The 26,686-nt window shown below is 33.8% G+C and overlaps 1 protein-coding gene and 1 long non-coding RNA gene across 15 annotated transcripts in view, besides 2 other annotated features; one reads left to right on the top strand and one right to left on the bottom strand.

Moving 5' to 3' along the window:
* EPHA6 (EPH receptor A6) overlaps positions 1–16,965 on the bottom strand; it is a 946,939-nt gene extending 929,974 nt beyond the window's left edge. For all 13 annotated transcript variants that reach the window (XR_001740110.2, XR_924126.3, XM_017006211.2 and 10 more), the window contains exon 1: positions 16,551–16,965. Coding sequence is in view for 9 of the 13 variants with exons in the window: in XM_006713592.4 (XP_006713655.1) it covers positions 16,551–16,935 (385 nt within the window). In the remaining 4 variants the exon portion in view is untranslated. The remainder of the gene's footprint in view (positions 1–16,550) is intronic.
* Positions 16,966–17,151: 186 nt separating this feature from the next.
* Positions 17,152–20,738, top strand: LOC124909397 (uncharacterized). 2 transcript variants are annotated; one of them, XR_007095974.1, is made up of 2 exons: positions 17,152–17,524; positions 18,449–20,738. It is a non-coding gene; the product is annotated as an uncharacterized LOC124909397 (long non-coding RNA). The 2 variants fall into 2 exon arrangements; XR_007095975.1 differs by lacking the exon at positions 17,152–17,524 and adding an exon at positions 17,877–18,244.
* Positions 17,880–17,999: a silencer, noted in NCBI's record as "silent region_14551". NCBI's record gives its function as "represses an Ori minimal core promoter by ATAC-STARR-seq in GM12878 lymphoblastoid cells {active_cell/tissue: GM12878}" and the evidence as "EXISTENCE:reporter gene assay evidence [ECO:0000049][PMID:35858748]".
* Positions 18,060–18,129: a silencer, noted in NCBI's record as "silent region_14550". NCBI's record gives its function as "represses an Ori minimal core promoter by ATAC-STARR-seq in GM12878 lymphoblastoid cells {active_cell/tissue: GM12878}" and the evidence as "EXISTENCE:reporter gene assay evidence [ECO:0000049][PMID:35858748]".
* Positions 20,739–26,686: the final 5,948 nt, after the last annotated feature.

Raw genomic sequence — 26,686 nt, 5'->3', positions numbered from 1 at the left:
TCTTTATTCTTAATAAAAGTGTCAATTGGCAAAAAAAAAAATGAACAATCACAAACACTGTCTCATAGACACTAAATCCAACTCATTGGAGTGGGCTCAGCAGAACAAGTTCTGCAACAATTCTTACAGACACTAAGACTTGACAGGTGCTGTAATAGATGCGAATTGGAAGAAAATCAAAAGTAGCCCACGTGGAGGAGGATCAGGGGCTGATGACTCAAACTGTGTGGCTTCTCAGTAGGTACTTAAGTTTTCATTACTGCTCATTAATCAAGACAGCTTATATGGTGTTTAGCACACAGTTTAAACATACAGGACAAATTAATAAACAGGTGATAAATGAAGAAGCAAAATCACATAGTAAATGGTTTTATACCCACAAAAATAATATACATAAATAAAATGAGAGTAAAAATGACAATATTACTTAAAATCATAACTATTAGCTTCTGATTTTAAAAATATCGAAGGAATATAAAATACAGGGAAAGCAATTATTTTTCTTAAATCAGCAAATAAAATTGTATTTATCATGTACAACATTATTTTTTGAAGCATATATGTGTGTGTGTGTATATATATACATATAAAATGGAATGGTTAAATGTAGCTAATTAACAAATGCATTACCTTCCATAGTTATCACTTGTGCAGTGAGAACACTTAACATCTACTTTATTATCATTAACTATGCTCACCATGCTGTACAGCAGATCTCTTGAACTTTCTTTACTTGTCTAACTGTAACTATATACCCTGTGATCAATGTCCCCCCCATTTCCCCTTACCCCTAAGAATTGTTCTCCAAATAATCTTTCTATTATTTTTAAAACAGATTATTTATAAAAGATATAGATTCAATGTGCTTACATATTTTCAAGACTTAAAGATAAATAATATTTAAATGTAATATATTTACATTTTAATATTCTAGAAGTTTTCCTGAAATTCTCTTTCCCATTTGTTAATAGAAAGTACATGGATCAAACAGGCTTAAAATCTGCTTTCTTTTTCCTTTGTGGTTACCAATTTGCCCTATCAGCTTTGCCAAGTAACTTAACGTCCATATAAATTCCATTAGTAAAATAAGTACAGTAATTTATGCTACTTACTTACCTTAGAGAGGTGGAATAAAAATGAAAAAGTGGTAGAATTAATATACACAGTTGAAAAGTATTTGGTATTTTCTTTTTTTCTGGTATGTCAAATCCTCCATCAACTGGAGATACATTTTTATATGCGCATTAGTGAGAAAGACTACTGAATATAAAACATGTTCGAGTTTTTCAGGGAAATATCCTCTGTAAGCACAAAGACCTGATGTTATCCATTTGTTTTGAACCTAAATTAGAATTGATATTCCTAATAACTACAGTCTCAAGCAAGTTATATTCAGAATACTTAATGTAATATGACCTGAATTATAGTAGAAAAAATAAAAATGTACACATACTTTAAATTTATAGTTCTTTTCATTATAGCACTAAAATGCGATACTTAGGATTATGTGAACCACTGCACTCTAGTGAAAAAGAACTTAAGTTTATGGAGCAAATAGCATACCATTTCTGTGTGTGTGTGTGTGTGTGTGTGTGTGTGTGTGTGTGTGCGCGCGCGCGCACATGCACGTGCATGTGTATACAGACAGTATTAGCTCAGCATATAAACAACTGCCTGAAAGTTTATAAGAACTACAGTAATAGCTAGGTAAGCTATTTTGAAATTTTAAGCAAAATTCAGTAACTCAATATATTTCCATTTCCTATGTATTAATAAGATACTCATCAGCATTTAATACAGAATTTCAGTCTTCAAGTCAGAATGTTGAAAAGAACAAGGTGATAGGCAGCAGACGCTACATCTAATGCTAAATCTATTTCCACTTGGGACTGAAAGAGAGCTCCTATACTGCCATAAATTGCTGCATATATAAAGAAGCACTAATTGTTGAATACCAAAATGTTTTAAAATAATCAGTAATTCCCAAGAAGAGGAGGGCAAGGAAATGACCACACCTCTTTTCCTCTGGGTACTTATGAAGGGCACATATTCCTCCTAATCCAGCGATTTCTATACAATCTTATTGGAAAAGGAGCATCCTGTAGTGAGGGAGAGCACATATTTTTTGACAGGAACTAAACTGTCTGGAGTTCAAATCCTGGGTCTGCTTCTGGTTATGTGACCCCACAGTAATTATTTATTCTCCCTAGGCTTCAGTTTCCTCATCTGTAAAATGAGATGATTATGTATTTAACTGTACTCCTTACCTTCTGGACTATGTGGGGTAATTTTTTTCCCTTTTAAGTTTCCAAACATAAAACGAATGATTCTCCTCTACTCCCATCAAATTTCTTTTTAAAAAGGAACTTTCATATATTTTAAGCAAAAGTTCTTGATAAACAGATGATCTTTATCAGTCTAAGATAAAGTATGAAGTGCTTGTTCTTCATACCTCAGTGTGCCCTTTCACAACCATTATAAAGTTGGGCTGAGACAGCTTCCAACCTCCAAAACAAAGTCAATAAATATGAGTCTGGAACTTAGTCCATATGTAGAAATCTTGTTCCTGACCCTAGGCACCCCAACTTTGTATAAGTCATTATTTTTACATTATCTCTAGATCTGCAAGTATTGCCATTCAAAAATGGAAATTCATTTGTCAGTAACAGCATGTGATAAAATTAATTATCTGGTTGCTAAAAATCAAGAGGATGTGTAGTCAGCTCTTGGCTGGATATCAGGCAGCAAGGACAGTCTAGACTGGTGGCTGTGCAAAACCACCAAAACGTATTAGGAAGCTCAGAATGATGGAGCTGTGGAGGTGTTGGGAATGGAACAGTGTTGATCATCCAGGAAAATGGAGATGGAGAAAGACACAGCCTATCTCTTTCACTTTTGCTAAAATACTTCCCCATTTTAATCTGGCCAGAAACCATGGTCGAATATCTGATTCCGGGGTTTATTTCCAGGAACAAAGGACAGGTGGACAAGCCATTCCTAAGCACTCATAAAAACAAAGGTGGAGCTGGTGTGTCTAAAGCATATGAAAGTGGATTCCATATCCTTAAGGTTACTTTAAGATTTCTTTTCCATCTCTAAACACCACCTCTCATACTCTTGACATGAGTTTCCTGATAAGAGAAAGAGCACACATCGTGGACACATAGGTAGTTTTTTAAATTTTCTTTCATTCCTTTGCTCTTTGTAAATTCTGTGGGAATGCTGTCATGTTAGATAGGTCCACGTTATCTCCTCTGAAGGAATTAGGAACTCATTTTAGTATCAGATGGGAATAAAATTCCTGACCCAGCTGCTGTTCTGAACAGCCTAAAAGGATAGGGCAAAAGTTTAGTAGAACCCCAATTAACTAAACTCTGATATGTTTAGGAGATCTTTTTTTCTTTTTTCTTTTTGCAGGGATGGGGGCAACTGATTTTCTTTTCTCAGAGAACTTTTATTTCTCTCTTCTATATGCTTATTTTTCCAGAGTATAACAGACTGGCGAAAGTTTCAAAGTAAAGATGTTGGGATGAAGAGGGAGTTAACATCCTAGCCACAAAGACAACCCGAAATAGAACAATAATCACGAATTTTTAACTGTCTTCTTAGCCACTCTAAAGCAACCCCTGAATCTCCATTAGACTGTTCTTGCAAGCCTTCTTTCCTTATTCTTCTGTCAATTCTCTTATATTCTCTCTTAGCAGCCAAACAAGTCTATCCATTTAATTCATGCAAAGGAATTTGGGACCCCTGTTGATGCACATGCCCTTGTTGAAGAATCTTTTTTTCAAATAAAGAAAGTTATCTCTGTAAAAATATTTTCCTATTTCGGGACATTTGATTCCAATTCTCCCATTTTATAAATAAGGCTGAGATGAAAATCCTTGGATATAATTATTGGCCTGCCTTTTCCTTGTCATTTGTCTTGAATTTAAATTCATAAAAGTGGAATTAATTGATCCGAGTATATGAACAGTTTTCACTATTCTGTTTAATTGCTTTCTAGCACACTTCATATCTTCAGAAGAAATACTTGCCATCATAACATCCTCTGAGGCATGATATATTAACCTGAAGCCATAACATATCTAGAAAATGAAGTTAAATAGGATGGGCAAGTGTTCTCTACACATTTTTTTAACTCAAAAAATTAACAAAAAAGAATAATACACATTGTTCCATAAAAATCATAAACTCCTCCAAAAATATTCAATGTTAAGGAATGAGGGCTGGAAAAGAAAACTTCTTTGCTTTCACATGGAGAGTCATCCCAGTTCTTACTCAACTTCTCAACTTTCTTTCAACTGCTTTCTAGCTTTTCCCACTCAAGAAAAACTTTCTCAGAGCTGGACAAATGAGAAGACTATAACGTGTGTGAGGCTTTAGGATCAGTGCACACATGCAGTAAAGCCAGATGCCCATTCTTTTGTGTCAGCCTCCATCCATGTAAATGCTCCTCCTAAGCCTGACTTTACCTTCCCCACTCTCTGGCATCAAACTACACCCAGGTAGGTGTCAAACACTCTTCTTCATATGTATATTAGGTGACTGAATTTAGGCCGTTTTAAATTGGAAGATAAGGAACCCCACTTAGGAATAAGTTCCATTAGTCATAATTGTACAACTGACCTATTATCAAGGAGCTTATCACTAGTATATGAAGTACTTATTCAGCTGTTGGTAAATGGGTATTTTATTTCACAATTGCCTACCGACCAATGTGTGCATGAGTCTTCAGAAGCAAATCTCAAAAGGAAAAGAAAAGTGAAAAAACTTGAGGGCTGAAGCAAATTTTGTTTTTGAAACTGTAATAAACACAATTAAAAGACAGCTTGGGAAAAATATTTGGAAATAACGTGAGATATATAAGGACTATATAAAGAACTTAGACATAAAAGCATAAACCACAATCTTTCCAATTTAAGAACAGCTAATAGAAAGACATGGAAAATAGCCAATGCACATAAAATATCCCCTACCTTAGCACTGGAATAGAGCAAGTTCATATTTTAAACCAGAAGTTGAGAGAAACTGCACTGAACAGGATAATCTTAGACTTGGAGAGTAAATAAATCATTTACTAATATACTAAAGAGGAAACTGGTGGTTTTCCCTTAGTTTTACAGGTACCATTTAAGCCTCTTAATATTCTAGTGCCATATCTAGAGTGGAATTTCCACCCAAGCTAGAGATGCATTTGAAAAAATGGGATCTATATCACAAGTGTCTTATGTGTGTAGTACAGTCTATCTAAAATGTTTTAGAATTAAGGTATCAAAACTTTGAAAATATGTCCAATTCAGTAAAGTCTGGTTATAAGTCAGATTCTGACAGCCTAAGTAAATAATCTACTATCAGAGAAAACACATCAAAGACTTATGATATATAATCTGGCATAGAATTAAAATAACTTTTATGACAGCAATAAATAACTATATGCTAGATACTGTATAAAGATTATAGAAGAAATATATTAATCTAACCTTATAAAAATATTTATTTTCACAATTTAAAAATGATGCCTGCAATAGGGTGTTGCAATTATAACAAAAAAACCTAGATGTATTCAAAGTGAGGGATAATCTATTAGCGTTATCAGTAGACCTCTAATTTTTGACTAAATAATTATTAAAGGTCATCATTTTTACCAAAATATCTTTAATTATTATAATTAATTTTTTCCAAAAGGCTATATCACATATATGGGAAGAAGGACCATAAAATGTTTAATTTAAAAATAGAGTATAATTATAATACAGAAACTAGATTGATAGTTTTCACTGCCTTTTGACATTCTAAAAGTACAAATCTAAATGTCAACAGCTAATCACGGGTAATCTGCTATTGATTTTTCTCTGTTTAAAAACACCAAGTTCTGGCAGCAATTTCTAATTCTATGTGCTTCTCAAATATAAAAATAAAGGCTCTATCAAACAGCAATTTACCTAATTTCTAAAGATAAATATTAAAGAACACCAGCAATTCCAAAGTTCTGCAATACTACTAAAAACAAATATTTAATACAGTTAGGAAAGAGAAAATAACAATAAAAATATTTAACATGATAGGGGATGACAAGTAACTATAGGTATTTGAAGAAATATTTTAAATTGGATATATCGTAAACCATACATGTACTGTCAATTTTATGTTCATCTAAAGGTAAAATAATCAATAAACAAAAGCATACAGAATCTAGTAAAATTTAGATTTTGTGTTGTTATATTTTAAAGAAAGCTCTCATCACTAAATATAACATTTTTAAAGGGTAAGATAAAGCTTTAAAAAAAAAAGCCAAGTCACATCACTTATTTAAAAGTTCTATGCTCAATCTAACATTATTCACTTGGATATTAATTTTTTATCCTTAAATGCATAAGTTTTAATCTTTAAACGCATAAAAACTAATTCAGTTACTTTAAAATGGAGGTCTCTGGAGTAGTCATTCATCTTAATTCTCTAATTATTTTCATATATTCATGATGATAAATCCTGATAAATGTGAGACTCATTTTCATTTCCCATGTATAACTCAAGCTTCTCAAGTTCTCAGGCTTATTTGTATGTAAAGTTTATATCATTTCTCTTCATTTTATCCATCTTATATTGTATTTTAATTTCAGCTATACCTCTTCAATTTTATAACACTGTCCTTTGCGGGAGGGCAGGGGCGGGGGAGCTGGCAGATCTTATTTCATTTTAAGGAGTCACACAAATCGTGGCTAACATATGGTCATGACCAATATACTAAATGAATATTTATTCTCAACGTCTCTGTATATTAATTCCTATATCCTTAAGAACAGTACTTTTCATTTCTGTAAACAATAGTTTGTAGATGGTAACTTACCAACTGTACAGCTGAATACATGTAACTTTGATATTTAAAAATTGTTTTAATTATTTACTGATGTCATTAGCTAAACTGTAAGCTCTCACAAGTTGGGGCAGTGGCCTGCCTTTGTGTTTCCTGTTTCTCAACACACCAAACATAATAGGTGTCAAAATATTTCATTTAAAAATTGGATGAATATTTGCTTATTGCAGAACTAGTTTGAGAATTCCAGAAAAAATGTATATTATATATAAAACCTATGAGATTAAGAACCTAAATGTTTATATAAAAGGAAAAAAATTAAAATGAATAAACTTTAAAAACCCAAAGATAACTACAGATATATTGCAATGACAAAATATTTGAGAAATTTACAATAGAAATATGTTTAAAATTTTATCTGATTTTAAGGCTTGGTAGCATTTAAAATATATATATACCATTTAGCTTTAATAAACCTATTAAAACTTTAGATTACTAACCTTAAAATAAATTATTAAATTTAATTCCACATTTCTGGTTAATAGGGTTCTTGAAAAATCTAAGAAAACAAATAGATTGCTGGTCGTAAAGTAGTCAATATTATACAGGTTCTTATATGTGTAATTTTTATTAAACAAACTAGCAAGCTGTTATTTTAATAACCTAGGTGAACTACATTTTTTCTAACCTATAAAATGAAGTTATTATACCATAACACAGTAAGACAATAAGTTATCATACTATAAGTACCTTTTTGCTCTACTATGGTATCGTAAAAATAACAATAAAATTGGAGTATGCTAATTTCCACTAATTTTCTAACCATGTTAAGCAATGTGCTACACCAACAGTACACATTTCCAAAGTTGTTCTGTTTCTTTTTCAGATGAAAATGAAGATCTCTTTCTGACTGCTCCCTCATTAAATTGAACACATGAAATAGCCTAGGTGACAATGAACTTCTCTCATTAAATGTTCTAGTATTCTACAATTTTCCAAGATATTCCAGTCTTTATTTTTTGATGAGGCATTAATGCTGATTGCTAGCAAGTGGACCAATACATAGATTTCATTTTATTTCAAAAATTGATACAATTCTTTTATGACTTTGTACAATGGAATCTGCTGCTCGACTATTTCTTATCACACTTCATGGCAACTACTAATTATTTTCACTTGCCTTCACAAGATAAATACTATTTAAGTATGCTTTAACTCAAGAGAAAGAAAAGAAGAGATTTTTAATATTAAAAAAAGTTTTAGCTAAGATTGTTTGTCAGCAATGGACACTTATATACTGGAATAAATCAAGGGACCTAGGCCAGAGTATGGTTGAATATATACAGCCAGAGAGAATCCTTAACAAATAGAATCATTTAAACAATACTGCCATGGATCAGCTTTTCTCCTGACTCTGTTTTTCTTTAATCATTGGTATGTTTATAGCTACTTAGCTACTGCATTGTATTTAAAAATCAATTTTACTTGTGTGAGATATCAATTCTCAGAATAACTAATTTATTGGCCTCTACATACTTAAATTCTCTATTTACTCATTTAATTTCAATTATGTTTTGCAATATTAGTGTCATTTTATATCAACATATGGAACACTATGCCTCTCTTTAAAAATAAAAATTAAGGTGCTACCAAGACTAATTCCACTCAAATTTGGGGGCAATCATATCAATTTTTCTTAGATAATTCTTACTTAGAATATATATTAATGAAACTTTTTTATTTCCTAGTACACAACATTTATCTTTATTAACTTGCTTTAAATACATCTAAATATAATTACCACAAGTAGGCAAGTTTCTATACTTTTTAAAAAGTTATGGATCTTTTTTAACATTAAAAGTTAGTGCTTTTCCTATTTCTAGGTGTTATACTCTATACACTACCTAAGAATGTGATTCTCTTTGCAACACTCATGTAGCTCAAAATACAAGTATATTATAGTACAGTCACCTGAAAGAACACATAATTTACTGTTATTAGTGAATTAACATAATAAATTATATATAAAATTATTTAAAATATACTTTTAAATTATATATAAAGTATCTTACTTTTTATCCAGATATCCACATAGATACCTAACATTACAAGAGTAAAATAATAAATTAAATATTTCTATCTCCTTAACAACCATTTTCTAAGGCAATGTTATTTCATATTTCCTCTGATCAAAAAGTACGTCTTTTACATTTGAAGTTACGAAGTAAAATAGCAGGAAGCATAATGAGTTGTCAATTACATCTATCAAGCACAGGTCACCAAATAGGCCAAAAGCTGGAGGACTCAGAATCCCGGGAAACTAGCTCAATATATTTTTCAGGAACTGGAGTGAAAATACACACTTTCATCCCAATTCTCACAAAGCTCAGTTAAAACATACAATTGCTACGATTTGAAATTGGAAACTTAGCATCTTCAACATGAATTAGTTTTTAATAACTAACCCACCAAAAATAAGCACACCAGAATAGGCCAGTCTAACATATTTTGAACAAAAGCTCAACTCACACATCCATCCACGATGTCATTAAATGTGTGAAATATTTATTTTTTGTACATATGAACATGTTTGTAAAATGCATATTTATACATTTTTATGTAATTAAGTAGAATATCTGCCAATCCATACAACTAACATCAGAAGAGTCTTGTGAAGCAATTTACAAATAAAACACATATGGTACACAGCAATTCTTTACTCTCTTCCCTTTCTTCCATGCAACATCATTTACTGTAAAATTCTTCATCTTATAGAAACCACCAAGTAATTGAAAAATAAATATCAATTACTCAAAATATAAAATGCCAGTAAGCAAACTGAGATTCAAGAGAACAGAATATGAAGATAATCTTTTTGTAACCTCAATACTTAGCATAATGCCTGATATTAAATCTATGGTTGCTGAGTGACTTATTATCTTAACTTTAAAATAAAATGTAATAAAATAATAGATATTTTTAAATAAATCTTTACATAAATCTTCTTTATTGGGGTTAATTGGTATACACTGTCATATAACAAATACATTTTTAAAGCTTTTATACTTGATTATTAATTTGATTTTGAGAAAACAAATTTTTCCTATCAGATCTGGAAACAGACTGTAAACTCTTTACTGGATCATATATTCTGGGAGAAAAAAGTTCTCTTTGAACCTTTATGTATGGCAAATACACTGCCTAGTCATATAGCAGGCAATAAATATCTGCTTAAATAATCATTTTGTTTTAGAGAATTTATAATTGAAAACTGAAACTGTATAGCCCATAAGAAGTTATATAGTTTATTTAAATGAAATAACTATAAAAATAGTATTTTCCAGAACATTCTAAAGCACTAAAGTAAAATGTAAGATTTACTGCATTTGGATATATGTTTAAATACATTTAGAAACATTTAAATGAAGTATCTCCAGAATATGAATTTTCTAAAAAACAGTGTGTAAGAGTGTTAAGAATTTTTATGTTCTCTACATTTAATAATTATTTTCATGTAGTAGTATTAAAAGGTAACTCAAAATAATCAGTAATTGACTGGTCATATAAAATTTTTAATTGCATAAAATTTACCGTTGTTTACTTAAAAGTATAACAGTTTCTTCCCTCACTCCATCCCCAAAAATATCACATATCCTGAAATCTCATTTTCTAGGTCTTGCTGAACATTTCTTCATTTAAACAGAACAGATAAGTATAATTGAAAGTATCTGAAAACACATTATTTTATATCTAGTATCACTTAGAATTTGTGTTTTCAATAACAGTAATTTGATCATAATAGAGATGAATAAAACTGGTACATATGTCAAATCCTCAAATATTGCTCCTTATTAGCCAAAACCTAGACTCTGCTGGCTTACTATGTTGCCATATGAAGATGTCCCTACATACTTGTACAGTCGTTCGCTGACAAAAAATAACTACATATAAAAAGTTACCATGTCAGAAATGAATCAAATTGCATTTGTTGATCCAAATGAGTTTACCTTATGTACAATGGTTTGAAATAACAAAACTGTTCTATTAAAATTATATTTTAAATTATTGTTTGAACTGAATCAAGTGGAAAATACACATCTCAGCCTTGCTACATATTTTTGTTCTACTCCATCTTCCTTATCCCTTGCAATTATCAATATTTAGTAAGGTAATTTCAATGAAGAATAATGAAAAATTAATCTGGGCTTCTTGCATTTATTTTTCTATAAAGACAAGATGTTCCCATAAATTCTATTTACAAAACATATTTCAAACCCATCTTCTTCTCTCCAGCTCCACCGACATCACTCTATGCCAGGCCACCATACATCTTGCCCGGACAACTGCAACTGACTCCCAATTCTACTCTTGTCATCTCCCAATTAAGTTTTTGCTCACTAGTCATGGTGCTACTAAAATGTAAATTGGTTTATTTTACTCAACTGGTCAAAACCTCCCTATAGATTCATGCTTTATCTAGGATAATATAAAAATTCAGTTTCTTAACATGAATCTTATTCTACTCTGAGGACTCTGGTTCCCGACTATCTTTCAGACTTCACTTTCTGCAACTCTCTTCCTTGCAAAGTAAGTTCCAGTCCACCCTGGACTCAGTTTTTCAAATGTGTCAAGCTCATTTCTCTTCGAGACCCTTGCTCAGTCAGTTTCCACTATATGTTACGCACTTCTTCCCACTCTGCAGAATGAGCTCTTTCTCTTCCCTGAGAATGAGGTTTCAATGTCACCTTCAAAGACAAGTCTTTCCAACTGTCCCATTTCAAATAGCACATCTCTCCTGTTACTTTCTCAGTGTCTTTGTTGCTTCATCCATATATAATTTTTACAATCTTTATTGTTTTATTTACTTACCCAAATATCATGAGTTCACATGCCTTATCTTTCTTTTTAAATCCATAATCCAAATTTTAGTTTACAAAACACAATACTCAATAAAATAATGCAAGAACAGAATGTATCTTCAGTTTGTTTAAATGTCAGTCTGATTAAATTACAAGTTGAACAGAACACTGTAGAGATACGCAATTTGATCCTGTATTAAATTAGTTTGATTACAATGTATGTTGGACAAAGTCAAACTATTTTGATCACCTAACTATATATATTGATTTCCAGCATGTTTGTAAACCCAAAATGGTGAGTCAAGGGTACAATGAAAAAATTTCTATTACTGTTGGGATTTGGTTGATGAACAGTGTGAAGTGGGATCTATTCTTTCACCATTTAGAACAAATGGAGCATGCAGTCAGAAGCATTTGTGTATGTGAGGTGGGAGAGAGAAAGAGAGAGAGTTACTGAAATTGTGATAGGGAAAAAGGGTTGGTAGAGGGAAATTTATATCTTTTGTACTTAAGTCATTTATACTAACAATGATTAGTGAAGAAACAAAGAAGCAAAAGGCTTTCTACTCTAATATTTTTTAATACTTATTTTGTGATGTAAAAGTAACAAAAAAGTAAAAGGATGTAATTTAATCATTAATTTCCCCTGTACCAATAGATATATACTTTTCCCTTAGGAAATTCATATAAAAGTGCTATAGTCATGAATACTAAATTAACTTCAACTATATTCATTTAAGTTATTTTTTGTTTGAAGAAGAGTTCCTTAAGGATTATGTATAATTTTTGTGCAAGAAATTTTCTTTTAGATATAGTATTATCCCAAGACCAGAACAAACAACAATTAGATGATCACTGCTGGAACTGCATAAAAACATTTTATCTTTGTACTTTGGATGCTAATCAATAATGACTAATTATACAATTACTTATTTTATATTGTAAATGTATAATAAAATTATATTCTAAGTTGTATTTATACTTATGTCTAACAAGAAGTGATGTGATAACAATCTCTGGAACCCTTACAACTATAAATAGTTTATCCTCAAAAACTAATTTCTTCTAAATGAATGGTCTTTCAGAAACATTCTAAGTAATCCAGTGTTCCTAATTTAACAAAATTTTTAATATTTTCAGCATTTTAATGTTTACTTTTGAAAAATCTTTAAAAATTTCCTCAATGTCTCCATTTCTATAAATATAAGAACAATATTCAATCAGAGTTTGTGAATAAAACATATGGATAAAACTAATTTTAGGCCATGAATTTTGTTAAGCAGATGTTTTTCTGCTTAGATATATTTATTTGTATTTATATACAACTCAGTGGATTATGCAGTTGATTCGCTCAAATTAATAAATTTAATGAAATCAACCAGCCACACTATTGTTTTGCTTATTTTGTTTGTCACTGAATTGCCTGGGGGGAAAATCGATTCACAAAGTATTGCTAATAAAATAAGTTCACTAGACTAACTTACCCATACCATACTTTGACTTAATTGAATTATTTGAGTATGCAATTGATTATTTGTAAAAGCATGAGCCACACCCTTAGATATGCATCAACTCATTTAGGCTATAAAGTAGTATTTGCTGCAGAATAATCTTTGAATGAATGGATCCCTGGTGTCTACTGGCCACTGTGATACACGGTAAATGGTTAACTTATACATGAAGCAAGATTGTGTTTTATATTCATATAAGTGTATAGTACAGAAATGAAAGGCTATATTCCTTGAAAAGATGAAATGTTTTTAAAATAAAAATTTCCAACACTTAATTAATACTGTGGTTTTAAATACAGGGAAAATTAATTGACTATGAGAGAGATTTAAACACAATTCATGTTTCCACTTACTTAATCAGATGAAGTGATCTAGGAAGAACCTTTACTTTCTGATCGATTCAAGGAGGTTTGGTTCATAGGAAGAGAGAGTCAAATTGATTTATTTCATCTTTACAGTCAGCTTCACACTCAGTTAAAAGACAAGAGAAGAGATCCTTTCTATAGTCAAGTTACTGTTTGCACCACGTTAAAAGAATGAGGTAGTTTACTTTTTTGTCATTATCATCATCATTTTACCTTGCTTATGTATGGAAAAATGGGGATTGGGGTGGGGGTTGTGGGAAAGGTGAATCCATTCTTTTCAGCCATGAAGGATGTCATATAATTTGGTAAAACAGATATATAACATTAAAATTTTATTTTGTGAATATCTTTAATCAGGAAGAAGTTACATATAAATGTAATTTTACCCTCTATAAAATAACAAATTTCAAAATTAAAACATTAATTCCATTAGCCTTTAAAGTGAAAATTATTGGACAATTAAAACTATCTTCTCAATACTAAATATGAATTATATTACTGTTTATTTTTATGTGTATAATAAATCAAATTTATATTTTACATTTATCTTTCCATGTTGAATACATATGATAATTCTATAATGTCCCATTTTCCATGTTTAAAAATAGATGCTTTATTTTATCCATTATGAAACTACGAGTAAGGAAAATATCCCTAAAATGTTATTAAGAATAACATTTAGAAACCTAGCATTTTATTAACCATTAGTGTGATGATTTCAATATTTGAAAGTTATCTCAACTTATTATCAGGAAAAATTTCTACTCACTATGACTTTAGGCTGTAAAAAGCATCATTTTATAAGTAATAATTTGTGTCTGATAAAAATTCTGATTATAATGTTCTTTTGAAGAAGTCACCTAAATTTTATCCAATTTAACCTTCAGGTACTATTTTGCCCACTGTACTCTTATGCACAGCCTGTGTTATCGGTATATCAATACAAATTCAAATTAAGAGTTTAAGTAGACAATCTTTAATGCTTCTATTTAACTGATGGGAAAATTGGATAATACTCATTCACTAAGTTTAGCTAATTAATAAAAATAAATAAATTACATATGTTTGGCATATATTCTAGGTCAAACATCTGTAAATACTATGAGAAAGTCATTAAAATAGATAAGCAAATAAAAATTACTGGAAGAGGTTAATAAATAACATCTCGATGCTTTTAAATTTACTATGAATGTCTGAAAGGTCATGCTTTAACAGGACATATTTTGGCAGAATGGCACTTTAGGGTCATTTGTAGATTCAGATATCTGTTTTATTTATGTTAGTATCCCCTGGGCCTAGGGTAGTTACTGATGCATCATAGGTATTTAAATAAATAAACATTGTTTGGGGAAATTATTGCATGGGAACAACTGTTACAAACTTCTAGTACACTTGACTCTCAAAGTATTCATCTCTAGTATCCTTACTTACTATTATAAAGTACAGTATCAATGTCTGACTTTCCAATTATTAAAAATTGTTTTGTCATAATAAAAAAGGGTAATCGTTACACGTTTTTTAACAATCTTCTACCTTCACAGAAATGAAGTTAACTACCTATTCAATATTTTATACCCACAGTCTTTGAAAATAAATGAGGGATGTAGTGTGATGGTATATACCACCACAGCAAAACAGGACACTGTAACTGATATCTATTATGTGATCTATCTTCAAAGCCATGAAGGTTATGTATGGTTTCCAAATTCACCTACACATTTGTGATTGCATTCTGTCAGTTTAAAATAACTGTAATAATTAGGAAAATATGCCAAAGTACCACTGTATAAATGAGAACAATTTAATAATTATATTTTATTCTGATTCTGAACATTTCTAAGTAAAATGGCCATATATGTTGATGACAAAGAAGAATGCTGTGTTGTTTATCTTCTCCCTTAACCTTCTCCTCACACAAAAAGTGAACACTTTCAAGCCATCTGACCTCCATTTTTATACCTGCAAATTACTTCGAGACTCTGAAACATATGCCTTATGTGTTAAATGATAACTATAACTGACTACCACACATAATATTTGAAGGGACATATCGGTTGGTCATTACAGCACGAGTGAGAGAATATCTAGCCAGATACATGCTGGGAAACTTTTATGGTTGTTTCATGCTTAGTCTGAAAGGACTTAGAATATGCAGGTGGTACTTTTTATAGATCTTTATGCACAGCAGAAATACAAGGAGATATATTTCATGAAGATTGTATGAATAGAAAAAGGGAAAATGCTCAAATATTCCAAGGGCTTTCCATCACTTTTTAACCACTATTTACCTTCACTTTACCACTTTACCCACCGAAACAAAGTCCTCCAAGCAATCTGTCAGTGACTTGACTTCATGAATAGGGTATTCACAACTTGGAAATTCACCCTAAACCCTTTTCTACTCCCTGCCCGCAAGAATATGAAACCCCTACACAGATCTGGAGCATCTGGTCTAGGAAGAATTTCGAGTAAGTCTACTTCGGTGGCCTGGATGGTAGATGAAGCATGGGGACTGAGGCTGGGCGAGGGCGGCAGTCACCGGAGGGGTGGGGAAAGACTGATAACTGGTCACGGGGTACAGCGGGAGCACCCTGCCTTTCAAGAAGGCATGTGGGAGAACCACACGTTCCCCTGAGAAGAGCGACCACCAAAGAGCCAGAAGTCTCCATTAAGTCTGTGCCACGGAGCCTGACTTCCAGTGGAGACAGCGCAGCGGGGAGCGGTCCCACGGCCGCTAGCGGTGGGACCCAACTGCAGCTGATGCTCACGCTACCGTTTAAAGACATTTAGAAACACAACGGATCCTAGCCTGTGGAGTCACCGTCCCGGGCGGTGTAAACAGGGCGCTAGGGTAAGGGGACATCCTCGATCCCCTCGTGTGGCGAGCCAGGAGACTCTGACCCCTGTACAAAGTTACCTGCAGGAGGCAACCAGTACCCTGGTTCTCCAAGCACCCTCCTCCTCCCACCCACTCCCGCTCCTCCGCCCCGTCCCTTACCTTGGTTGTTGGAGACGTGACTGCAGTCGCCTGGCCACGCTGTCAGCAGAGGCAAGAAGAAACCAAATTGCAAAAGAAATTCCCGGACTTCGCAGCCCCCCATGGTTCTCCTAGGCTCTCTTTTCCTCTCCCTTAAAGAGAAGTGGCGGCAGCGCAGGCAGGTGTTCTGGGTAGGATGGGGGTCCTTGTCCACGTCTTCTTCCTCCTCCTCCTCTTCCTCCTCCACCCGGCCCGCAGGGGGTGTCCCGGGGCGCCCCCTGCGCGAGGTCCCGGGAACAGGGCACGAGGGTCCAGGCTGCCCAGTTGCAGGTGCAGCTGCTTCGGAGGAGGACGCTGCCTGCGGCGCCGGGGAGCTCCTCGCGGCTGGAGGCGAGGGGAATTGCATCCACCACAGTGTCCCGCTTGCGCGAGGACTATTCACTTGGGCCGGAGAGAGCGCGCGCGCGCAAGAGCGAGCTCGGGCTGTGGTTTGGGGGAGGGGAGCGAGGGGGCGGGGAGCGCCTCACCGCGAGGACGGGGGCGGGGACGGACTGCCAGGTGGGGCGGGCAGTTGGGGCGGCCCGAGGACCTCTCCCGACTCAAGTGGGCACTTGCGGAGCCAAAAGCAGGGGAGGCGCTGCAGCTGTGAAGAGGCGTGGGGGCCGCGGGAACTTTCCTCTGGCCGGTGCGATGAAAGCCGGGCGGACGAGGTGGCTCAACGGGGCTGAGAGTGGTTCGGCCGAGGCGCGGGCTGAGCCCTCAGCACCTGGCCTGAGCGGCGTGGGCAGCAGCCTGCACCGCGGACACCTCCAACTCTGCCGCGTCTGCGCCGCACTCTGGCCGTGGCAGCGATTTTCCGGGCATCTCTGAGGCCGCCCTTAGTCCCACAAGCACTTAGCCGCCCATTTCAGAGCAGCGGCGCCGACCGTTTTAAGAGGAGTCAGTTCCCGACACCGCCTCCCACTTACTTCTCCACATTTCCACCGCTGGAGGGGGTGAGTGCCGTGGACAGGCGCTCCCGTCCGGGGACAGCTCAGCGGCGGCAGTCAGCCCGACCCTCCTCCGCGCGGGTCGCCCAAACTTGACCAGCAGAGCGAGCGGCTCAGCGCAGTAGCCGCCTTCGCGGCTTCCAGTTGTAGAAAAGCAAAGCGCCGGGAGGAAGCAGCAGAGGGGGGGTTACATGAGGCTGGAAAGTGGCGGGTGTACGGCGCCCGGGATCGCCGAGGTCCTTGCGTCGCCTTGCGGAGGTGACTTCGCGGTGGAGGTCACGAGCATCGTCGCAGCCTTGACGCTGGGATTCAGGGGTCCCCGAGCGTCCACGGCGTGGTGGCGTCGGGCCGCGCTCTCCTAGCAGTCCAAGGGCCGAGTGGCGCGTGGCCACATCCACAGCAGCGCAGGGGCGCCGTGGGCTGACGGCTCTCCCCGCGCGAGCCGCCCCCTCGCGGCACCCACTCCCTCCCCGCGCTCGGGTCTCCCGGAAGCCGAGGCGCGGGCCACTTGGTGGGACTCCGCGGCCCCCGCCCCAGGGCCGGGGCAACGCGGCGTGCTGACTGGGAGGACCCTCGGCGTCCGCGGTCTCCACCACCTCGCCCCGCGGCGGAGGCGGGCGCCCAGGGCAGGGACGGAGCCCGGAGCGCTGCAGAGCCCGGCCAAGCCCAGCCTTCTCCCGGCCTGGCAGCCGCGGCTCGGATGCCGCCAGTTCGGCGCTAGAGGGGGTTAGTCGACAACAAAAATGCCTGCACCGCTCGCAGGTGGAGGCGGCTCATCAGGCCAGGAACCGAAAGGAGGGAGGGATGCTGTCAGGCTAAACTTAACGCCTTGGTTAAGGGCGCGTCAAGGAAACCGTATCGCTTGGGTGGGGATTTCCGTGATACTTTATTTGTTACTAGTATTTCCAACATCATTTTTCTTTCTTGAAGGGACTTCGGCTATCACAGTCGAGGGAGGTTGAAAACCCCACTTCAAAACCCGTCGGAATGTTTTGAGAAAATGTGGATGGTAATGGAGAAATGTGAACAGAGGAGAGAAAGTAGCGGTCTTGTAAAGGATATACGATATTTTCCAAGTGGGCAGAAAGCACAGGAGGGAAATGGCACAGTGACAAGAGGTCAGGGGAGCGGGAGATGGAGCCAAGGGTCGGCGTTTGACGCTTACAGAGTTCTGGAAGGGAAAGGACCCTTCTATTCCATGCATTCCTGCGCTGCGATGTTTTTGTGCCACACACCATAGCTGAAGAAGTTTCACTTAATGCCTTACAGTAAATTGGAAGGAAAGAAAGAATGAGAGCAAGAAATGTCCCATGTCAAAAATTCTGCTGCGTGGAGAGAAATGGTGAAATACAAGCGATTTGGAGAATGTGAGGAAGGGTTCTGATTGGTGACTATACTCTCATTCTCATTAGGAATTCATACACCTCTGCCTCTCTTTGAAGGTGTGTCCACACCAACTTAAATGTATGCAAATCATTTCTAAAAAGATACCATGTGTGGAGTTTATATATCGGCACTTAAGAGTAAAATCTGACTTTGATACTCATTTTGCCACTCTTACTGATATTGATTGACCACATGAGCATTTGCAAACTCATTTTAGAGTTTATAAACTCAGTTACAAAATAAAAAGACTACATTATCACCATTATAATATAAATCATTGTGTCTAAATAATGTTCTTAGAAATTTCTAATGATTCATTATCTGATAATTTTATTCAAAATCTCTTTTTATATACTGTCAAAAATATGTTTCCATGACCTTTTATAATTAAATTTTCATTTTTAAATGTTGGCTTACAGTAAATCTATAAACTTCATTAATAATTCACTAAAAGAAAAATCGTTCAAGAAAGTCCTTATAAATTGAAGGAATGTATAATATTATTATTTTAAAAATATAAACCATGTGAATCTATTTCTATACTTTTACTTTTGAAATTAACTAGACTTGCAAGGGAAACATTTTTAATGGAACATCACCAAAAAGAAGTTATTTCAGTATAATTCCTAACATAAAATATTTTAAAATCAAAGTTTAAAATCAAGTTCTGATGTTTTACTTGAGTGTTGCATTTTAGAGAATATGTTATAAAACACCAAGAAGTTTCACTTAAAATTAGACTAGAAGGCAGTACTTTTAGTGGAAGGAAGGGGAAAAGGCAGAAAAAAAAAAGGAGAAAGAAATAGAGAGGAAAACTTAGATTCATTTCTAGGATTCACGCTTAGTTAGAAATCATAGCACAGTGCCTGAAACATAACCTGTTACTTCAAAGTAACAATAATCCGCTTAATTAACCTGAATTTCTAGTCCCCCCATGCACTGTACTTACAATTCAGCTACAGTTCATAATTTGTATTTGTTTAAATGAGCCAAAGTCAAGCTTGACATATATATCTGGTTAGATAATTGATAGTCATATTCTTGTCTTGGCTTTTAAGAAAAAAATATTACAAGATTTTTCTCAATATTAAAACATACTTCACATGTTTACGTATGTTTGGATGCTATCTATTGCATGCCTAGAAGATAATGACATCTTAAGTAAAAACTCATCTAAAAAATGAGTTAAAATATGATTATCATTGCCTTTGACAATAGCAAGATTCCATGAGTTTGACATGATTATTAATGTTAAAACATGATTGTAAAAAAGAATTACCATGACCGTTTGACCATTTATATGTTTATATATATATGTGATATATATATATATATACACACACAAAGATGCACAAATATATATGTGCATGTCTCTCTAAAATATTTGTTTAGTTCTTTTTATGTGCTAAATTCTCTTCACTCAGGGAAGAGTTAATGGTAAACTACTTTGTGTAACAATAATTTCTTTTATTAAGCTAACATTTTATTTAAAATATAATCATGGTTATCTATGTAAGCTAGATGCAATTACACTTAGAAATGTACTTCCTTTTTGATTTTCTAGCAGTGTTGATATATTTGCTGACATGTGACAGTTTCAAAATTATAAGCTACTCAATGAACCAGATGCAATATTCATGTAGATTTATCTGCACTTGTCTGTTTGAATCATACCCATACTCAGAAAAGCATTCATGTCTCATTTTTCAGAACTATATTGTTCAGAATTCTTCTGTATTCTCTCAGACTATTGTTCTTCACGATATATGTGGTCTGGATTCAGGTAAGAAATGATGAAATTTTTTATTAAATAAAGGATATATGACATTAAAAACTGGTGTGCTTTTATTTATAGTAGAAATAATAGTATTCATAAATATTATTTGCTTTTTAAAATGATTAAAAGAGGAGAGACTTAACCTGCAATTACTTCCTTTGAGAAAAAAAGAAGGATTATAATGTTTAATACTCAGCATGTTTCAAGACTTGAGAAAGTCTTAAGTATATTATTCTGGTAAAAGAGTAAATTAATCCATTCACAGCAGCAATTTGCATTCTCTAAGGTCAAGGTAGAAAAAACATAAATAAAAAGAATGTTGATCCTCAAATATGACAAAATATCAGGTCTTAAAAGATTAGGTATGTACTTTGAAAAGAACAAATTGCATAAATCTTTTTTGATAATATAAAATGTAAAGACATGCTGTAGGCAATAATATTATCATATTCATGCCATCAACTTTAAAATATGTTAGTTACAAGATTGTATTCTATGTGTTTCAGCATTGAAACCGCTAAAATAAAAATAAAATCCACAATGTCAAATATAGTTAATTTGAGTCTCTTTGCGTTTAGGAAGTATGTAATTAGGGGAAAACATACACATTGTTTACTTCAGAAATTTTGCTTTGGTGTTAGGAAGTAGATAATAATTTTCTGGAAAAGAACATTCAAAGCAGTGAATTCTAAGCATATCATATCTTAGAAACCTTACAGAAAAAAATGCAACTTGAAGTTACATAAAATGTACTATTGTTGATTCTGCTGTGATAATTGAATTTTGGTTCTTGTGTTACATTCAGTGAAAGAAAAATATATGCACATATGTCATATACATATCATATTACCTATGTGTGTGCATGAAATTCAATAAAAACATTCTCTCTAGTACTTTTCTAATTCAGTAACCGTTTGCCAAGCAAGATTTTCACATCCATTTGTGCTGAGCATCGTAAAGAAAGTACAAAGATTACTTGGATTTAGTTCTTACCTCTCAGAAGTTTATATTACATTACAGTACAAAAAACAAAAAAAAACTATTCCAATTAAAATCAATCTCTGTGTTCCTACAGTGGAGTTCCAAATTATTATACTTATGTAAGAGGGAAAGAATCATACCGTCACCTTCTAAGGCATGGATTTCTTAGTTATTTTCTTGAGTTAAACTCACTCTTGGTATGCATTGGTCCATCTTCTAAAGGCTAGTACAAGAACTTTTACTAACATTAAAAACAATACTAAAGGTTATGCACAATGACCTAATAATTTAACTAGATTCAAATAACTTGCAATATAATAAAGTTGACTTAACAGTCTGTGTGGCATCAGGTATCCACAAAAAGTAATTTTACTAAATTATGTAGAGACTTTTAAAGTTATAAATTTAAATTTATTTCAGTTTTACAAGTTGTATATTAGTTTATCTTTCATTCCTCAAAGTGACCAACTGGGTCAAAACAACTGCTTTCATTGATTTATAATAAATACCATTAAAGAGCATATTCTAAATATCAAGTAGGTAACAACTGATAATAGAAGTAAAACTGCCTCTAAAAACCCCTATAAATATTGAAATATGTGTGATTATGTCCATCATAACAAATACCACAGGAATATTGCTATTAATTTTATTCAAATATTCAAAATAAAAATCTAGTCCAAATATATTTGGTATTTTATCTTGAACTATTCCTGCATCATGATACTTTGTGCCTTGTTTCACAAATATGCAAAACAAGAGGACACTTGGGCATGTCAAATACTTAAATGTTAAATTTACTAATAATAATATCCATATGAATAACAATTATGCACTAAACATTTCAATTATTTGATACCAATAATACAAAACATGCTTTTTTTACTGCATTCAAACTGGGGTAAATTAAAAGTATCAGATGAAGATAAGTGACTACTTAATGCATCACTTAAGCTGGACTTTATGGGTAAAGTTTTTTCATAAAAATGTTTTTTACATTATTTCAGTTCAGTTTGCAAGCACATACCACGTTGACATTTTTGAAATTCTAGGTTTTGTGTTTTTAAATTAAAAAAAGTTAAAGGACAAGTTTTGAGAGAATGACAACTGAATAAAAACTTAATATGCCCAATGTTTACATTTTATGTAAGGAGTTCTATATCATCATACTCATAGTGGATTTTTTTTTTCTGCTGTGCCTATTAAAATGTTTTCATGGAATATAAATATGTTTAATATTATCTTCTAATTTAATAATGATTAATAAGTATATGGAACTGACACCAATCATTTGACAATTAGCATATGGTTATTCATCTACTTGCCTAACTTTGATACACATATCTAATCTTTTCGACGATCCTGAAAAGTCTTCAAAGAACAGAGAATGTATCCTTTACATCTCTACAAAAAGCATTTACTGAATAATTATGTATTTAATATTTATCTTTAAATTTTTGGTCAAAATTTGCCATCATCATTAATTTTTTTCATAAAGAATAATTGAATACCTACATAATCAGCTGTAAAAAGTACCTAATTTCTCCTTTTGTTTAAGATCATTAAATATTTATATTGCTAATATTTGAGTCAATATAATTTTATAAATATTATATGTGAATAATATATATTATTACATGTATGTATGTTGCATGCATATTGAGCCTATGCGGAGTTGTTATGAAAATGGTCTTTTAGCTACATGGGAACTAAACCTGCTGTAGAGTCCATGCGACACTCTGTTGATATTTCAGTGTTAAATTCGATATATGGTCTATAGTATTAGAAGTATACTGAAATTCATAGTACTTGGAATTAGATTGTGATATCTTTGCTATTTTTATGGGTTAAAAAATTCTAAATTAATGAAAAAAGCAGGAAAGCAAACACTAGGTTGACTTAGATTGGTATTAATTTATGATCATCCTAATTTACATTTAATTGCTCCTGAGTTATTTTGCATCATGACTTAAAATATGTAAGTAATGGGAAGTGTACCCATGCTTATTTTTGAATTTTATCCAATGTGAAAAAATAAGAAAGTTCCTTACTCATTGAAAATATGTAGAATTTTTAAAAATATTTCAAATTATTTATCTAAAATAAATGCTACTGATATATGAACACTGCCTAATAGAACTTTTTGCAATGTTAGACATAGCCTGTATCTCTGCTGTCTGATACAGTAGCCACTAGCTATATGTAACTTTTGAGGGTTTGAATGTATCTAGCATAGCTGAGAAACTGAATTTTTAGTTTGAGTTAATTTTAATAAATTTACATTTAAATAGCCATATTTGGCAGTGACTACCGCACTGGTGAGCGCATATCACCACTTTTCAATACCTTCACATTGATAATATAGAAATTTTACCTTACACAGTCATGTTTAGCAGTCTTGTTTATCATCAGCAAAAATGAAGCTCACCTTGGACAATAACTCTGTTATGACATGTGTTTACACTGTTTTCAAAACTAACTTGATTTGACATGTTTTTTGCATATTACACTGAGTTTGTCAGAAGGCATTAAACAGGCACTGATAGAAACTCACATATCTTTAAGAATTAATTATCAATAGACTTACCTAATGTGCCTAATTTTGGATGCTACTATTTAAAAAATGGTTTGGAGCCATTTGTCATCTTAGTTCTGCCCACTATGTCTGCTACACTGTCCTGGGTCTCACAAAATTATAGTGACATAAGGAGCTCAATAACGGTAGCGGAGGTTCCAAAATTAATACCGTTTCCTAGAGACTCGACAAAGAGGCAGTAGGATTTTTCCATTTAGATGCTAGCATTTGCATTTGTATTTTGTTCCCTTTCTTGTGTTGTTTTGTTTTTCCCCTTTTTGACTTTTTGATTTACATGTAAAAACATTGTTAGGAACCCTTTTTCATGTCTATAGATTTTTTTTTAATATAAGGATGCACATGAAAGCCAGAGAACCTATTCACCACTGTTCCATTTATATTATCTTAAATTGTCACTTGATGGTATCTTTCTATAGATTTAGTTTATCACAAATGCTAAAGTAAAAAACAAATCTAATAAATATATTATCTCCTACAGAAATCTTGAAATATGATTAAAGAAAAAATTTTAATATTTATACTACTTAGCAAACACTTACATGGTGTTTACACTATCCCAATTACCAATATTAACTTCAGCTAATAATTACAAATACTAATTACAAACATGGATTCAATTAATCCTCAAAACAACACTCTAAAGTAGGTGCTATTATTATCTTCATTTTATAGATTAGAAAGCTGAAGCACAGAACTTTCCCACTGTCTCCCAGCCAGTAAAGTGGTAAAACAGGGATGGATGGGAGCCCAGGCAGTCTGGCTCCAGAAGCTGTGCTTTTTATCACTATGCTGCTTCACTTGTATCCCTGAATGTTCACCCAAATATACACAAGCATGCACATTTATAGTTTGCATGTATCTGTGTATTCATTCATATAAATTTTATCTAATTCCTTAAAATTAAGCTCAAATCACAAAATATTTTCAGTGAATCTCCTTCCCAATTGTGACGAAGTTCCTGAATGACCACATTCTTTTTTCTCACTGCCCAACATTTTGCACACTTCTGACTCTTGCAAGATCCACTTTCCCTTTTTTCTTAAAAATCTTTCTCTTAAATGACACCTGTCTCCAAAGCTACTAGCTTGTATTTATTCAGCTATTATGTTTTGTGCTCCATCTGGAGCGTCTTTGCAAGGCATTGAGTATTAAAGTGATGAATAAAACAGATAAAGGCTTGCTCGCACAGAATCTACATTCTAGGGTTAATTCAGTGCTTACCATGCATCTCACATTGTTCTATGTGCATTAAACATCCTAGCGCATTTAATAGTTACAGCCCTATAAGATAGATACTGTTATTGTACCCATTTTACAAATCATGAAGCCAAAGTATATACAGTATATACTAATTAGAAGAAAAGCAGTTATTCTTAGGTTTAAAAAAGTCTCTGTCTTCTCTTTGTAATACAGGTAAGGGTATAATCAGAGAGATTATTGGAATTTATTGGGATGCTGACTTTCTGTTCATGAGGATAAAGGCTATTTCTCAAATATACTATATGTGACAGAGAAGCTTTTAAGAAAAGAAAACCTTGAGGCTATAGCACCTATCCGTATTTTACTTCCTTGCCATTATGAAAATGATAACACATTCATACCAAAAATCTAAAGAATGTTTGAGTAGGTTGATATCCTTTGTTGCAAATTGAGAATATATTTTTCTCTTTAAATTACTTGTTTACATTGTAAAAGTCATGTAAAAATATCATAAAATAATGTGTAAAATTGAAAAGAAAAATAACACCTTTTTATTTTGCTACTCTAATATGATTACTCTTACTGTTTTAGTGTATTTTATTTCAGACATCATAACCTGCCCCTCCCTAATATATAGTCTAGGTGCTTGAAACTATATCATGCATTCAGATATATATTGCATTTCTATTTCTCCACTAACTACTTGACTTTAAAGCATTGTGGGTTTATTTATATAGAGATGCCCTTATGATATAAATTTGGTAAAATGATACAAAAACAACTAGTAAAGACAGGCATTGCTATGTGAGGATGATGATGCAAATTTGATAAATTAAGTAGGATTTTTATAATTCTTATAATTTTCAGAAAACTATTTGAGACTATAAACATATGATAGCATCAATTCAGAATTTCAAAGTGTTGAAATGAGTTTTGCTGTTGTTGCTATTTTTTTACAAAAAGTTTTTACAATATTATCTCGTGTGGGGAAAAGACAATGCAATGCTTTTCTTAAAGAAAGAGTCTTAACGTGCTACTACAACAAGAATAAGAGGATGATTCCCTGAATTGTATATTCTAGACAAAATTGCAAAATAATTTAAGCCAGTGCATTTCTTTTACTATGTCTTTAAATATTTCCTTTGTGTACCATTCCTCCTTTTAGTTACACAATCTGATAATCCAATTTTATCTGTTTTCCTTATAAAAAGAAAAAATGTAAAGGAAT

Source organism: Homo sapiens, chromosome 3 (assembly GCF_000001405.40).
Source record: "Homo sapiens chromosome 3, GRCh38.p14 Primary Assembly".
NCBI lineage: Eukaryota > Metazoa > Chordata > Mammalia > Primates > Hominidae > Homo > Homo sapiens.
Note: the sequence above shows the minus strand (reverse complement) of the source record. Positions and strands in the feature narration are given on the sequence as shown.